We start from the raw sequence: 17,460 nt of genomic DNA on the forward strand, positions 1-17,460 counted from the left end.
ATTTTATTTAATTTTAATTCAACCAGGGGACCTGCTGGTTACCAGATGTACTCCCAGGCTCTAAAACACGAATGCACTAAACCTCCAGTGACCTTGCACAGCAGGTCTCCTTGCCCTGGCTCTAAGGCAGGAAAGCGATGAAGTCATTGTCTAGCCCAAGGCCACTGCCGTGGATTGAATGTGGTGTCCCCTCCCCAGACTCACATGCTGATATCCTAAACCCCAGTGTGACAGGATTTGGAGGCGGGACCTTTGGGAGGAATTAGGTCTTGCAGGTGGAGCCCTCATCATGGGATGAGTGCCCTTGTAAGAAGAGGCCAGAGGCTGCCTCGCTCTTTCTACCACATGAGGGTGCGAGGAAAAGGCGGCTGTCTGCAGCTCAGAAGAGGGCCCACCCAGAGCCCGACCATGCTGGCACTCTGATCTTGGACTTCCAGCCTCCAGAACTGAGAAAAATAAATGTCTATTATTCAGAAGCCACCAGTCTATGAGGCTTCGTTGAGCTGCACCGAGACCACACATCCTACCTGGCTGCCCCCAGCTTTCCCCCAACTGGGCTGCCAGCACCCCCATAGGTTGTGCCCATCCAGGAACCTGAGGCTGGGGGCAGAGGCCCTGGAAGACCACACATGGTGGGCTTGTCTAGGCACTAGGGGCAGGAAATGTTTCCTTTTAACATTTCCCCAAGCTTTTGACATTTATAATTTGACATCAGAGGAAACACTCTCAATGCCATCTTTAAGGGAAAAGGAATAAAAAGCAGAAATACGTATGCCCCGCCCCCTCTGTGACTCACTCAAATCCCCTGCACAAGTGAATCAGAGGCCAGCACCCCATCGTAGGATGCATCCCACCTGCACACCCAGCTCAGCTGCCTCCAGCTTGCGCGGCCCCTGCGCGCCCGAAACACGGCCAGCACCATGCGAAACAGAGTTTTAGCTTTTATTTGATTTTAATTCATTTTAATTTAAATAAACACATGTGGCCAGTAGCTACCATATTGTTTCATGCAATAAGACTAAGACACGCTGTAAGACAGGTGTTTAAAGATGGTGTTTCTAAGATTCAGGGAGAAATCCGGGGCACAGAACCTGAAAACTTGACACCCCATCCCAAAGCCCACCACACTGTGCTGTCATCATGACTGTGTTTGCAAGACAAGTATATGCACAGATGAGTCCCCTGCGGACACACCTTTCAGCAGCAGCCAGTGGGGCTGGGAGCAGAGACAGGTATGCTCCCTCTCTCTCTCTCTCTCTGTGGCTCTGGGGCCCTGGGAGGGCTGGCGTTGAGAAGTGTCAGGGCTAGAAGAGGCCATAATGATCACCGGCCACCCCCTCCCCGCCATTGTACGGATGGGAGTGCAGGGGCAGTCTGGAGAGTTCTGTACCTAATCCTGAGAGGAGACCTCTTCCATGCTCAGAGACACTGGGGAGCCAACTGCACCAGCCCAGGACGTGGGCCAGGGAGGCTGCTGGAGCCAGGCTTCTGCTAGTCAGCACAGCTGGTGCCCTGCGGGCTCCCAGCACTCAGCACTGCCTGGGGTTCCCACGGAGAAGGAGCCTCAGATTCCCCTGGCCTCCAGCCTGCTGTTCACCCCTAAGCATCTAGTTTATTCAAAGGCAGCCCCCAAGAAAGGCCCTGGTGGTCTCAGCCTGGAAGGGGAACACTCAAGTCTTGAAGGAACTCAGCCAGCAGGTACTGATGGCTCACAGGGCCAGGGATGGAGACGCAGGGTGGCCAGGGTGGTGCTGGATGGCTGAGGCCCGGCCGCATCTGTCACCAGTTCCGGGATGGCCCATGCTGGGAAACATCACGTTGCTTTGAGGCCATCATCTTAAGGGGATTCTCTGTAATGTTCAGGAGAGGGCCATGTGGAGAGGTTGGCCTTCTGAGTCCTGCCTGGGCCCTCAGGGTCCTCTTGGCTCAAGACCAACAACTGCAGGGGCTATGGCAGGGAGAGTGGACGCCGGCGCCGGGCACTGATCTGGGCCTTTCCACAGCTTTTTAGAATATCAAGTTGTCTAAGCTTCCCCGAGACACTGTGAGGTGGCGCCACGCTTGGCCCCGCATTACTGGGACTTGAAGGGAGGCAGCCTGGCCCGAGTCCAGGGTGTGCTTGACGGCACCCAGGGGAGCACAGGGTGATCTGACCTGGCCTGGAGGGAGCAGAGGGGCTTCCTGGAGGAGGGGGTATCAAAGTCCAGCTGTGAGATGGAGGAGGAATTAGCCAGGCCCAGGGAGGGGAGAGACGGTCTGGGCAGAGAGCAGTACAACAAGGACAGGAATACAAAATCGGTATCACTGGGCTGATGTCAAGGCAGCCCCAAGGCCGAGCTCCCCGAAGGCTCTAGGGCAGGCTGTCCTTGCCTTGCCTGGCTGCTGGGGCGGCCTGCATTTCCTGACTTGTGGACGGCAAGGTGGCCCCAGGGCTGAGCTCCCCCAAAGGCTCTAGGGGAGGCTGCCGTTACCTCGCCCTGCTCTTGGGGCAGCCTGCATTTCCTGGTGATGGCAGCATCACTCCAGCCTCTGGCTCTGTGGTCACCCCACTCTGCCTCTCTCTTAGAATAACTGTGATGGCACTGAGGGCCCACTCAGATCATCCAGGATCAGCTCCCCATCTCAGCATCCTGGTGTAAGCCCATCTGTAAAGACCCTTTTTCCACATAAGGCAATATTCACAGGTCACAGGGATCAGGACCTGATATGCTGAGGTGGGGCACAATTTCTCAGCCAACCACATGCAGCAGCAGCTTAACTGATACTATATGTAAATGGCGAACAAAAAATTCACAGAAAACACCTTCATTCCTTGTGATGTGCTCTACTATTTTCTACTCAACTCACCTTCTTATATAACGCACACTGCTGCGACCCACTAAACTGATTTCCTGCCAGGGACTGGGTCGCCACCTGCAGTGCAGAAAATTATATCCTAACCTCTGCAGCTGCATCCTGCCAGGGTGGGGACCGGGACGAGAACTATGATGACTTTAGTAAAAGAGGGGGATGAGCTGTTTCTGCATGCGGAGGGCAGATGGGACTGACAAGGGCCTGGGAGGACCCCCGACCCCTCCCTGACTCTCTCACATGCTCTCAGCCACCCTCTGCTGGCCTGGGCACAGAAGCCTGCATCCCTGAGCACAGCAGCCCGCATCCCCAGCACAGCATCCCGCATCCCTGAGCACAGCAGCCCGCATCCCCAGCACAGCAGCCCGCATCCCTGAGCACAGCAGCCCGCATCCCCAGCACAGCAGCCCGCATCCCTGAGCACAGCAGCCCGCATCCCCTGCACAGCAGCCCGCATCCCTGAGCACAGCAGCCCGCATCCCCAGCACAGCAGCCCGCATCCCTGAGCACAGCAGCCCGCATCCCCTGCACAGCAGCCCGCATCCCCTGCACAGCAGCCCGCATCTCCAGCACAGCAGCCAGCATCCCCAGAACATCAGCCTGCATCCCTGAGCACAGCAGCCCGCATCCCCTGCACGGCAGCCCGCATCCCCTGCACAGCAGCCCGCATCCCCTGCACGGCAGCCTGCATCCCCGAGCACAGCTGTGCCGGCCGAGCTCAGGCCTCGGGGTGCCTGGACATCCCTCCGTGGGGTGTGGTGTACTAGCGGGATGGCTCAAGTGGCACAGGAACGACCTGGTTGGAAAGGAAACAGCGTACATGGTCCCACGAGGCTGCAATCACCCCCCTGCTCACTCATGCTCACCCCCTCCCCTGCACAGAACCCCTCACTCCCTGACAGCCCAGCGCTGTGGCTGCCACCCATCACGGGGGCATGGATGGGGTATAATTACTCACATCTTCATTTCTGAATGCTGCTTAAAAGCTGAGAAGTAATGAGATCAGGCCCTGACACATGGGACAGGTGAGAGAGATTTTCACTGAGACTTAAAGCGAGGAAGACACCAGTGCTTTTTCAGGATTGTAAAACTTAGGTTTAGAGGGATCTGAGACCATCCAGTCCCTGGAGAAGGACGCCCAGCCCTGGCCTTTCCTGAGCACTGGGCCCCCAGCTCCCTCTGAGTGCTGGATGCCTCCGTGGGGATGCTCCAGGCACCTCACGGTCAGAAAACAGAATGCGGAAGGCCTGCTCACTGCCACCCTCCCTCACCGCCACTCCTGCTCCCCAGCAATGCTGCACATCATGAAGCACGGCCCCTACCCCGCTGTCTTCCCTCGGGTGACTCAGTCCTGGGCCTGCAACAGGCCCCAACACTCCAGAGCCCTGGGACCTGGGCCCAGCGACTGAACCTCTTAGAGCCTCAGTTTCCTCATCTGTAAATGGGGATACCACGGACTGGGCTGCAGGGAGACTAAATGAGATGATGCCTCTGAAAGTGTCCAGCCCCTACCCGGGCACGTGGTGGGCACTCGGTAATTGGCATCTTTGTTCCCCAGTTCCTGACTCGATGGGTGTCCCGTGGCTGCTGTGACACAGTGCCACAGACGGCAGCTTAACAACAGGCATTTACTCTCCCCGGTTCTGGAGACCAGAAGTCCCAGATCAGGGGTTGTGAGGACAACGCAGGCTCTGGGGCTCTGGGAAGGACCTTCCTGGCCTCTTCCCGCTTCTGCTGGCAGCCGGCAATCCTCCCGAGCCTCAGCCTGCAGCCGCGTCACTCCAATCTCTGCCTCCGATGTCACGTGGCCTCCTCCCTGCGTGAGTTCACATCACCTTCCCTCTTCTCCCTTCCCAAATCCAGCATGACCTCATCTGGACGAGTTCCATCCCGCAATGACCCTACCACCAAGTAAGGTCACATGCAGAGGGGTCAGGGCTTCACTTAGCGGGAATGCAATTCAACCCACAGCGGCGGCTTTCCTCTTTTCATCAGGGGACCTACACCCCGGGTGCCCTGGCACAACATGTCCCCATTAAGGGAGTTTTCTCCCCGTCCCCTGCGGGGTATCTCTTCTCCTGCTCCCTCCTGCCTGCCGGTCCATATCTCTCCTGGTAGAGACGGGAGGTCCCCACCCCACCCTCATGGGCCCTCCACTCCTTGGCAAACTAGCCTCCCAGTCTCCAGCACACAGTGTCCTCTTTGGGGCGCACTAGGCCTCCCAGGTTGAGAGCAAACCCCTGGTTTCGGATCTGAAGATCCCAGCCCGGCTGGAGCTCCTCCCCGGGTCCCGCTCTCCTCGCCCCTCACCCCTCTGTGCTCTGCACACACCTAGGCTGCCCAGCTCCACCTGGGTCCATGCCCCGGCCCTCCGACAGCATCTCTGCAGGACAATGAGCATTGCAAATGCCCCTTGAGACAGCGATTCCCAGAGCCCCCTGAGGTGTCAACAGGGAGCTGGCCACCATGGAAACAACCCAGGCAGCCAATGGCTGGGCTAGTTAGGCAGTGTCCCTGCCCACACCACAGTCCTGAGTGCCACTAACACCAGTGCATTCGTCCATGGGGGGAGCACCTGTCAGGCACCAGAGCAAGGCACGTGGGGACATGGGGGTCTCGTCATGCATGAAGCTGGCAGGTTGCAGGGGGGGGTGACGAACAGTGAACAGCGAGGTGAGTGCCCTCTGCAGCTGCTACGGCTGCCATGGGCACAGGCGGGCGGATGGGCCTCATGAGGACAGGACATCTGCACCAAGCACTGAAGGACACAGCTGAAGAGGGGATGGAGGTACAGAGGCTCCGAGGCCAGGCGGAAACAAAGGCAAGCGGAGGATGTTGAGCGGCCATGAGGGAAGCCTCGAAGGCCAGGACTAAGCATGCCAACTCCCTTCCTGAGCTCTCAGGCAGCCCCAGGGCAGGGTGAGCACAGAGATGCAGTGAGAAAATCCACCAGGGCGGATCGGAGGGGATGGTGCTGCGTCTCCCTGTTGGGAGGTGCCGCTCCTCCACCACTCCCTGCCTTCTGTCCCCAAGGAGGCACTCGCCCAGGCCGGAAACTGGGCCGTCTCCTGCTGCCCCTCCCTCTCCACACCCACAGCCCCTCCACACACAGCTCGGCCCAGCCCCCGTCGGCAAGAAGAACGCATGCTAAAACCAATAGCGATCCATCTCCCTGCCTGCAAAATGCAGACCACATGCCCCGTCTGCCTCCTGAATCAATAAAGACAAATAATCCAACAGAAAAATAAGCAAAGAAAGGGACAGGAAATTCACAGAGACACAAATGTGCCGGAAATGTATGAAAACGCTCTCAGGCTCCACAGTGCCAGGAAGGCCCCCTTTTCCCATGGTCTGGCAAATATTTAAAAGACTGACAGTGTCCTGAGCTGGGCTCGGAGGGACCAGGGACGAGGGACTTGTGCCCTTTTGGTACAGGTACAAATCAGGACAGCCACTGGGGAGGGTGGCTTGGCAGAAGGCATTTCTATCCAACAATTCCTCTTCCAGGAATATCCCTTACATGTCTATTTGCATGTGGGTGCAAAGACATACGTGTGAGAATTTTCATCTCCACTAGGTGCACACAAGGTGTGCTAAAATCTGAAAGTACTTGGGAGCCAGTGCGTCCCATGCGCTTCTGATGGGCACAGTGGCAAGGACCCAGCGTCACCGAGGCAGGCCCTTGTCCAAAATGCTCAGCCAAACCCAGACATGAAGAAACAGACCAGTCCTGATGGTGGGACATGCCACAAGGCCACAGGTCTGGACTTTTCAAGTGTGTCCGTGGCACAAAAGAAAGATAGAAAAGGAAAAAAGGTAGGGAGAACATTCCAGAATAAAAGCTACTAAGGACAACGACACATGATAACCAACTGCAATGCATGATTCTGGGTCGGATCCTGGAGGAGAAAAGGTAAGCAAATACCCGCAACAGACAACTAGGGGTAACCGGGGCAGCCAGAAAGTGGACATTGCACAGGCGATGTTTTGCTATCGATAGGTACTAATGTATTGCTATGTCTGAATGCCTGCGTTCCCCAAATTCATGTGTCGAAGTCCTTGCCCCCAGTGTGAGGGTGTTAGGACGTGAGGCCTTCGGAAGGTGATTAGTTCATGAGTGTGGAAGCTTCATGAATGGGATTAGTGCCCTTTCAAAAGAGACCTCAGAGAGCTCCCTCGCCCCTTCTGAGTGTGAGGACACAGTGAGAAGACGTCATTGATGAACCAGGAAGCAGTCCTTTCCAGACACTGCATCTGCTGGTGCCTTCATCTGGGACCTCCAGCCTCCAGGACTGTGAGAAATCAATGTCTGCTGTTTATAAGCCGCCGGGCTGTGATATCCTGTGAGAGTGGCCCCAGTGGATGAAGACAGATGCTCTCAAGGAGCGCAGATGACGCGGGTTCCGAAGGACTCGGCACCCAGCCCGGAGGCCGGCAACATGGGCAAGGGGCCTCTCACGGCTGACCTGTTTCCTCATCAGCACATCAGGACAATAAGAGCTCCCACTTCACAGGTGGTGAAGAGCCAACGTGGTGAAGAATGAATAAAGCAGCTCGTGGAAAGTGCTGTGCATGAGGCCTGGCAACCGGTCCCTGCTCTGAGGTCACCTGCCACGGAGCTGCTGACAGGACCATTAAAAACACAATTGTGCAAGTGCTCACCCACATTCACAGCAGCAGAATCTCCACCAGCCAAGCATTGGAGACGATCCTTGCATCCATAGACATGAACAGATGAGCAAAACGTGGTCTATACGGACGATGAAATAGCACTCAGCCCTAAGAAGAAATAAAATCCCGACAGAGGCTACAGCATGGATGGCTCTTGAGGACACCATGCCCAGTCCCAGAAGGACAAATATCACAGGATGCCACTTATATGAGGTCCCAAGAGTCGTCAACTTCATAGAGATGGAAAGTAGAAGGGTGGGTGGCAGGGGCCGGGGAGTTAGTGTTGAAGGGGGACACGGCTTCTGTTTGGGAAGATGAGAGGGTCCTGTGGATGGATGGCATTGCTGGTTGCACAGCACCGTGTAAGTGTATGTGTTTAGTGCCACAGGATGGCACACTTAAGAATGGTCTAGATGGAAATATAATGTATACATAGTACCACTGTTTTAAAAAATGATGCCAATAGATGCTCTCTGTACCCAGGGCAGCAAAAATCCAAAACTAGACATGGGGGAAGGGCTCTGCAGTACCAGGTGGGGGCCTCGCCTTCTGCACCCCACGTGGCTGACTTTGTTTGTCAGTGGCCTGTTGCCCACCTGAGTACCCGGGACCCACCAGACAACTCGTGGTCTGCAGGGCATCTGCCAACAGCACCACTGTCTGAGTCATGCCGACAAGGCCGAGGGAAGCGGAGGAAGGAAGGTGCATGACATTTTCCCACTCAGTGTGGCTAAATGTACACCTCACTGCCTAGTGCCATGTCCTGCCACGTGGCCTCGGGTCCAGCTGCAACCTTCCAGAGCACACAGCGGGGCCTCCCCGCTCAGGCCTCAGGAAACCAAGTCCTGTCACTCGCTACTATGGTCTGAATGTTTGTGGCTCCCCCTCCAAATTTGTGTGAGAAAATCCTAACTCACAAGGCAATGTATTAGGAGCTGGGCCCTTGGGAGGTGATTAGGTCATGAGGGTGGGGCCCAAAGAGCTCATTGTCCCCTTCCATAGGAGGACACAGTGAGAAGGCCCCATCTATGAGGAGGCGGCCCCCAACAGAGCCCACTCTCCGTGCCTCCCTCTGGGACTTCCAGCCTCCAGAAGTGTGAGAGTTCAACGTCTGTCTTTGTAAGCCGCCCAGGCTGTGGTATTTGTCACGGCAGCCGGGCTGACTCATACACTGACCTGGGCACTCCTCAGGCCCTTAGTCCCCAGCAGGCGCTAGGACCCCCCCACTCTGCTTTAGGGGCTCACTGGCTCAAGGGATCCTGAGCTGGGTGAGACAGTCCCTGCTCTGGGAGTCCCTGGTCAAGGAAGACAGACAGAAAGGGCATGAACCCCGGACAAGTGGACAAGCCCATGCCTCACAGGGACAAAGACAGTGGGGGCGGCCAAGGGCCTGGGGAGTGGCCACAGACATCGTGCCCCATGGGGCAGGCCTCTGGTGGATTTGGGTGAAGGGGCAGGGGAGCGGGGGCGTCCCATGAGGGGAACCGCCTGTGCAAAGACACAGGGCTGGGGAAGGGCCTGGCCCTCATGGGAGCCCCTAAGAGCTCAGCCTGGCCGGGCACAGGCGGTGGTGAAGAAGGGATGGGAGGTGCAGTTGGCGAGAGGCAGCCACGTCGCAGCCCCTCAGCCAAGCTGTGGAGTCGCTCCCTGAGCACAGGGCTCACAGGCCAGCCTGACAGGGTCCTGCCCTCAAAATGCCCCCACCAAGTGTCAAATGGTGCAGCCACTGTGGAAAAGTAGGGTGGGCCCTCGAAAACTTAGAGATAGAATGGCCATTTGATCCGGCAGTCCCACTTTCTGGGTATTTACCCCAAAGAACAGAAAGCAGGCTCCCTAGGAGATACCTACACACCCACGTTCACAGCAGCCTTAGTCACATCAGCCAAGAGGCAGAAGCCGCCCAGGTGCCCTCCGGCAAATGAACTGATAAACAAAATGTGGCCCAGCCATTCAGTGGAATATTATTCAGCCTTAAAAAGGAGAGGAATTCTGACACAGGCTATGACATGGATGACCCTTGAAGACATTACGCTGAGTGAGATCCCAGTCACAGAGGGCAAATAGTGCAGGATTCCACTGATAGGAGGCCCCTAGAGTTGTTGAATCCACAGAGACAGAAGGAATGGGAGTGACAGGGGCTGGGTGTGGGAGAATGGGGAGTGAGTGTTTAAGGGGGACAGAACCTCAGTTGAGGGAGATGAAAAAGGTTCTATGGATAGACAGTGATGATGGCTACATCATCATTCAACCGTGTGAATGGACTTAATGTCACTGAATGGTATGCTTAAAAATGGTTAAAATGGTAAATTTTAGGGTGAGTGTATTTAATCACAATAAAAAATAAAATTTAAAAATACAAAACAATCATATGGAACCAAAAAAGAGCTCATATAGCCAAGACAAACCTGAGCAAAAAGACCAAAGCTGGAGGCATCATGCTACCTGACTTCAAACTATACTATGAGGCTACAGTAACCAAAACAGCATGGTACTGGTACAAAAACAGACTCACAGACCAATGGAACAGAATAGAGATCTCAGAAATTAGACCACACATACACAACCATCTGATCTTCAACAAACTTGAGAAAACAAGCAATGGGAAAAGGATTTAATGAATGGTTTTGGAAAAACTGGCTAGCCATATGCAGAAAATTGAAACTGGACCCCTTCCTTATACCTTATACAAAAATTAACTCAAGATGGATTAAAGACTTAAACGTAAAACCCAAAACAATAAAAACCCTAGAAGAAAATCTAGGCAATACCATTCAGGACACAGGTATGGGCAAAGATTTCATGACAAAAACATCAAAAGCAATTGCAACAGAAGCAGAAATTGACAAATGGGACCTAATTAAACTAAAGAGCTTCTGCACAGCAAAAGAAACTATCATCAGAGACTGGGTGCAGTGGCTCACGCCTGTAATCCCAGCACTTTGGGAGGCCTAGGTGGGTGGATCACCTGAGGTCAGGAGTTCAAGACCAGCCTGGCCAACATGGCGAAACGCCGTCTCTAATAAAAATACAAAAATTGCCGGACATGGTGGCAGACACTTGTAATCCCAGCTCCTTGGGAGGCTGAGGGCAGGAGAATTGCTTGAACCCAGGAGGCGGAGGTTGCAGGGAGCCGAGATTGCACCATTACGCTCCAGCCTGGGCAACAACAGTGAAACTCTGTCTTGAAAAGAGAAAACGGAAAAGGGAAAAGGGAAAAGGGAAGGGAGGGGAGGGGAGGGGAATGGAAGGGAAGGGAAGGGAAGGGAGAAAAAAAGAAAAGAAACTATTATCAGAGTGAACAGACAACCTATGAAATGGGAGAAAATTTTTGCAATCTATCCTTCTGACAAAGATCTAATATCCAGAATCTACAAGGAACTTAAACATATTTACAAGAAAAAAACAACCCCATCAAAAAGTGGGCAAAAGCCATGAAGAGACACTTCACAAAAGAAGACATTTACACAGCCAACAAACATATGAAAAAAGCTCAACGTCAATGATCATTAGAGAAGTGCAGATCAAAACCACGATGAGATACCATCTCACACCAGTCAGAATGGCGATTATTAAAAAGTCAAGAAACGACAAATGCTTGCGAGGCTGTGGAGAAACAGGAATGCTTTTACTCTGTTGGTGGGAATATACATTAGTTCCACCATTGTGAAAGATAGTGTGCTGATTCTTCAAAGATCCAGAACCAGAAATACCATTTGAACCGGCAATCCCATTAGTGGGTATATACCCAAAGGAATATAAATCATTCTATTATAAAGATACATGCATGTGTATATTCATTGCAGCACTATACACAATAGCAAAGGCATGAAATCAACCCAAATGCCCATCACTGATAGAATGGATAAAGAAAATGTAGCACATATACACCGTGGAATACTATGCAGCCATAAAAAAGGAAAGAGATCGTGTCCTTTGCAAGGACATGGATAGAACTGGAAGCCATTATCCTTAGCAAACTAACACAGGAACAGAAAACCAAACACTACATGTTCTCACTTACAAGTGGGAGCTGAACAGTGAGAACACATGGAAACGGGGAGACGAACAACACACACTAGGGCCTGTCAGAGGGGTGGGGGGAGGGAGAGCATCAGGATAAATAGCTAATGCACGCAGGGCTCAATACCTTGGTGTGGGTTAACAGGTGCGGCAAACCACCATGGCACACGTTTACCTGTGTAACAAACCTGCATGTCCTGCACATGTATCCCAGAACTTAAAGTAAAATAAAATTAAGAAAAAAATACAAAACAAAAGCAATGCTCCCCATCTGGTGAAGGAAACAGAGAATGTGGTCAAACACACCACAGGGAGCCATGCAGTGGGATCCTACACGGCAGCTAAGGAATCAGCCATGGCAGGGGATTTCATGCCAGGCAGGAACTTCGTGAAACAGTGCCAGAGGAGGACCGCATCGTGCACCACCTGGAGGCTTGGAAACCTGGCGGGGAGCATGGGGGAAAGGGGGCAGTGACACGGGGGCCTTGCCTGCATGTGGGAGCCACACGTGGCCTCTCTTTAACCGGCTTCAATGCCCCTTCAAAAACAAACGCGCATTCTGTCTGTGATACCGTTACTCCCATGGCCACTGCTACTGATGATGGAAGCAATGATGATAAAATCGACCCCAGAGAATACACAAGAGGGCAGTGACCCAGGGGAGCTGGGGCCTCCTGAAGGTCCCACGGAGGCCAGCAGAGAGTAGCACCCAGACACATGTGGAAGGAGGGAAAGGGCTGACGATATTCAGAAAAGAGTGCATTTACCCCAGCTCCTGAGTCAGGGTGGGGTTCAGGGCAGGGAGGTGGCTGCCAAGAAGAGCTATGAAGAATTAGAAGCTGGACCAATGCAGAGGAGGCCTGGGTGGTGTGAACGGTGTTTTTCTAGAACTCCTTACTCATTAAAATCCACGGTAAAGCCTGCAGCTGTGGGCTGGTCTCCAAGGCCACTGAACCTGACCTCAGGCTCAGGTGGACCCTGCCCCTGTCTCCAGGCCCCTGAGCTGCCCTTGCCTTAGCCTCACCTGTATAGATATTCTCGCCATCCTGCAAGTCATCTCCAGGTAGCGGGAAGGGACTGGGACTGGGAACAGACAGCCCTGAGCTCAAATCATAGCCTTGTCTCTTCCCGGCCATGTGACCTTGGCCACCCCCTCTCCCCACCCCCCGGAGCCCTAAGTATTTCTAAGAATTCTGGAATCACTCTAAAGAGATCACAAACATCGAAGTGCCTGGCCCTAAGCAAACAAAAGCTATAATCTTATGGATTATAAGACCCACAAGTCCAAGCCCCAGACATGACCTGCAGTTAATTACCAGCCCCTCTTCCTCCTCGGCAAATCACAGCCACACATGCCTCCTTCACAGCTTTCCCCGCAGCTAGCTTCCGTTGGCCTGAAGCTCACAGGCACCCAGGGAATGATCTTTGCCAAACACATGCACCAACATTTGAATAATTCAACTTCCATAAAAGGGGAAGGGAGGTTATGCTTAATATTAAGCAGACTATGCTTTTTTATTTTTTATTTTGTAGAGATGGAGTATCGCTATGTTGCCTAGGCTAGTCTCAAATTCCTGACCTCAAATGATCCTCCTGCTTTGGTCTCCCAAAGTGCTGGGATTACAGGAATGAGCACACAGTTCTGCTCCTAGTATCAGCCAGTTATGCTTGATATTAGGAGCAGGTTCACGTGCAGATCTATCCACAGGAGACCTATTTGGGAGGGCGCCTGTGAGTTCTAAGTAAAGGAGAATTTGCAACCAGTGCTACTTGCCACACTGTATCTAGGGTCCCATCTTAAATTTCATATGTCCACCTGGGTGGGGCCAAATGCTCCGCCTGCACTTTGAGTAGAGAGCGAATACATGCACCCTGGATCTGAGAAGAGGGGGAGGGCCCCCCCAGCTCCATGCAGGAGCCCACCAGAAAACCTAACCATGGGTGCACAGGGGAACAAGCTGCTTGGCCATGTCATCCTGGGGCCAGCGGGGCGCCGTGACCAGCCCACCTCCCTCCAGCTGCAAGCCCAGCCTCTAGTGGCGCAGCTGTTCGAGTTGTCCTGAGTCAGGTGGCACCATGGGAGATAGAGGGTTCTATTCCTGGCATAACTAACCCTCTTTCCTGGATCTGGGACAGCAAGGGCCAGGACACTGTCCAGGTCTCCACATCGGCTCGAGCCCCTCCCAGAGTGTCTGGGTCTCACAGTCTCTATGGCACTGACCCCCACTGCTGTAACTGCCTGCTCCCAGCTGGTCTCTCCTGCTGCCCGCACTGCCCGAGGGCATGGACTCTGCCTCACCTCACTGCCCCAACATCACCCCTGGGGCCAGCACCGAGGTGCAGCCCAGGGGGTGCACTGGCAGACTGCATTACGATGACTCTCCACCTTCGGGCACAGAGGGCACATGTCCTGGTCACCCGGCTTCCCCATTGCCCTCCCTGGCCCAGGAGTTAAAGAGCCACTAGCTTGAACAAGATGCTGCTAAGCCTCAAAACAAGTGCCCACCCCAGCCCTCTGCTGCTCTTGAGTGAAATTATGACAAGGGCTGTGGGTGTGCTGCATGGGCTCACTGGGGTCAGCTGCTGAATGGTGCATGGTGGGCGCTGGCATCCTTGATGTGTGCTCGCAGCCACGAGGTGGGCACAGAGGGGGACCAGGGCTCCTGAATCAGCGGCCTTGCCCTTGATGGCCCTCACTCTTCCCCTGCACGGTTGGACAAAGGTGCCACTTCCTGCAATTGTGCAGCACCAATTGTCCCCTCTCTGGACCCTGCCCTCCCCAAGGACAACACCATCCCTTTCTGGTCAACGAGCCCTCAATGAGAACATCAGCCTGGCCCGGCCCTTGAGGAACCTCAGGTCTGGGGAAGGTGGGAGGGCGAGGAAGATAGCTCAGTGAATGAGAGAGGAGGCACAGGGACGTGGCCTTGGGACCTGTTCCCTGAACACTCTCAGCCAGCTTCCCTCCCCTCTGCAGGCCCCCTCTTCCCATCTGCAAAGGCCCCAGTCCTCCCTTGACCCTGGCAATACCGGCTCTTGTCCTTCTTCTCCCCTTCCTTCATGGCTAAACGTCTTGAAAAGGGTGTCAGTGTCAACAGTGCCCATACTGGGAGCGGGGGCGAGAGTGGGGGGGGGGGGCGTCTGCAAATGCATCTCCTGGGGCCTGCCCAGCTCTATCACAGCGTCCCAGGCTGAGGCCCAGGCATCTGCCTGTTGTACTGTCAGCGGTCTCCACCCCTCTAAGGAAGGAGCTTCCTTCAGACACTGACTCCCAGGCCCCCAAGGCTGGGTTCCCTACACTGTCACTGAGCACGTACTACCAGCCAGGTGCTATGGGAGGTACCGGAGGACCACGGTGCACAAAAGGCAGATAGCACTGTGGAGCCCTGCACCCTGCACCCTACCCAGGGCCTAAGGTCAGGGCACGGATGAAATTCCTCAAACACATACTCTCCCTCCCATCTCGGGGGCTCTGCACTAGCTGTCCCTGCTGTCAGGTGCCCTTCTCCCACTGCTTTGTCTGGCTAACTCCTACTTGGTTGGATGTCACCTCCTTCAGGAAGCCTGCCAGGATTTCTCTCTCAGGCCAGGTTCACTTTCTCTCTGGCCCCACAGCCTGCCTCCCTGAGAAGTGCTTTCTCATGGAGTGTCATCGCTTACTGCATGCCTTCTTTGTTGGCTGGGTGCTCCTGGAGGGAAGAACTGCCTCCAGTGCCCAGCAAGAGGATCGACATGCTCCAGGGAACATACCACCTCTAGCCTCCCTGCCAAGCCTGTGGATGCTGCTTGGCTGCATGTTAGAGGACACGGCTGCCTGTCAGCCCTGGGGTGGGGCCAGGCCTTTGCAGCAGGCTGGGGGGTCTTCTGTGAGGGGCATCCTTCCTGGTGTTGGTCTCCTCGGGGAGCGGCAGGTCCTCACCGAGGAAACTGGCGCTCGGAGGGGAGGACTTAGGTCCTGGGAGAAACCACCAGCCCCCACCCTGAAAGCTGCCCCTTGGGGACTTCCCAGGTCAATGCCAAGGAGGGGCCGGCTGTAGCCTGATGGTCCTCTTCCTCCCAAGTCCAGAGCAAAGTCCTGCTGGCATCTCCTGCTGGGCCACAGGGGTGCCTGGCAGAGTTGGGGAAAGGGAAGGGATCAAAGCACCCAGCAGAGCCTCAGCGGGGAAGCAGCCCCTGGTGCTCGGCCAGAAATTCCTGGTAAAATCCCAATTTCCAGCAAAATACTCTTTCTAAGTTGTCAACCTCCTAGGAGGCTGTGGGTCACATTTTAAGGAAGAAGAGAGAGAGACAGTTTCTAAGTCCCTTCCAGAATCCGCATCCACCCCCTATGGCAGTGATGACACTGCCCCTTATGCCCCAGGGCCGCCGCTGGGGGACTTGTTCTATTTGAAAGGCAAGGCGTGGAGGAGAATCACAAATACGCAGACAGCACATAAAATGACTCCCGCGCTGAGCTGCGAGAAGGCTTGTGAAAGCCTCGCAGGAAGCTGACCCACATTTAATGCAGATTATGGAGGGAGGGAGGGAGGGCGCCATTCAGCTGAGCACAGGGTCTGGAAGGACACAGCCTGAGCTCCAGTGCCAGCCCAGCGGGTGACGCGGGGCAGGCTTCTCCATGTCACTTTGCCTCTATGTCCCCGCCTGTAAAATGGGGAGTCACAGCTCCCCACCCCACCACCTGGTGTGAAGAGGACTCACAGAGGTGACGCGGCCCACACTCAGCCAGTGTTATGACCCCCGCTATGCTGCTGTTCTCTACCAGCCACCGGGCACCCTTTTATCAAGAAGCGTGAGCTCTTTGGAAAGCATAAAAATGCACCATCCGCAAAAGGGATGTTTTTTATCAGGCGCAGAACTCTTTGTTCCCTATTGGCCTGAGAATTTGAAAGAACCCGTGGGGAGACACGCTCTGGGGAGGCGGCAGCACTGAGTGGGTGTTCTGAGAGGCAGGCATGCCAGTGGGAAGCCCACCTCCCATCTTTACCAGCCGTGTGACCTGGGGCGGGTCGTGCCTCCTGTCTTATCCAAGCACCCTCATCTGCCAACTGGGAGCAGTGACATCACCCCACAGGGCTTTGTGGTGTCGGAGATCAATCTACAGCCTCGCTCCTGTGCCCAGTGTTGCTAGGTGCTCTGTAAATGGCAGGTATTGATTTTTTTTTTTTTTCCAGACAGAGTCTCGCTCTGTCGCCCAGGCTGGAGTGCAGTGGCATGATCTCAGCTCACTGCAATCTTCGCCTCCCAGATTCAAGCAATTCTCCTGCTTCAGCCTCCTGAGTAGCTGGGATTACAGGCACACACCACCACGCCCAGCTAATTTTTGTATTTTTAGTAGAGGCGGGGTTTCTCCATGTTGGCCAGGCTGATCTTGAACTCCTGACCTCAGGTGATCTGCCCACCTCGGCTTCCCAAAGTGCTGGGATTACAGGCATGAGCTACCGCGCCCGGCCAGGTATTGATTTTCATTAGACAAATCAATCACTCCCTTTGGATCCCACTCTGGTGAGCGCCGGGGGTTCCTGAGGTTGCCAGCACACCCAGGATATATTTAGCTCTCTGCTGGAGCCCTGCTGGGTGCTAGCATTCCAGCTGAGGACATGAAATCTCAGGCCAGCTCCTAATTTCTCATTGGCAACCATGGATTTTGCTCCAGAGCAGAACTCCCTCTCTTTTATAACCGTAGACTAAATTATCCCCAGACTACACACTCATACACACACACACACACACACACACACACACACACACACACACACGAGATCCCTGTGCTTGTAACATGTCAATACCGCTCACAGCCCTAGCTCAACAGTGAAAGTCCACCTCTCAAAATAGAGTATCTCAGAGCAAGAGGACCTGGCCAGCCGCCGGGGAGGCTGACAGCTGCTTCCTAATGGAGTGTCCTTGAGAACTAGAATTGAG

At 54.5% G+C, this 17,460-nt stretch overlaps 1 protein-coding gene across 14 annotated transcripts in view; it reads right to left on the reverse strand.

The window, feature by feature from the left end:
• Positions 1 to 17,460, reverse strand: part of ABLIM2 (actin binding LIM protein family member 2) — a 193,487-nt gene that overhangs the window by 163,166 nt on the left and 12,861 nt on the right. The window lies entirely within an intron of this gene.

The sequence above is a fragment of the Homo sapiens genome, chromosome 4, assembly GCF_000001405.40.
Source record: "Homo sapiens chromosome 4, GRCh38.p14 Primary Assembly".
Taxonomy (NCBI): Eukaryota; Metazoa; Chordata; class Mammalia; order Primates; family Hominidae; genus Homo; species Homo sapiens.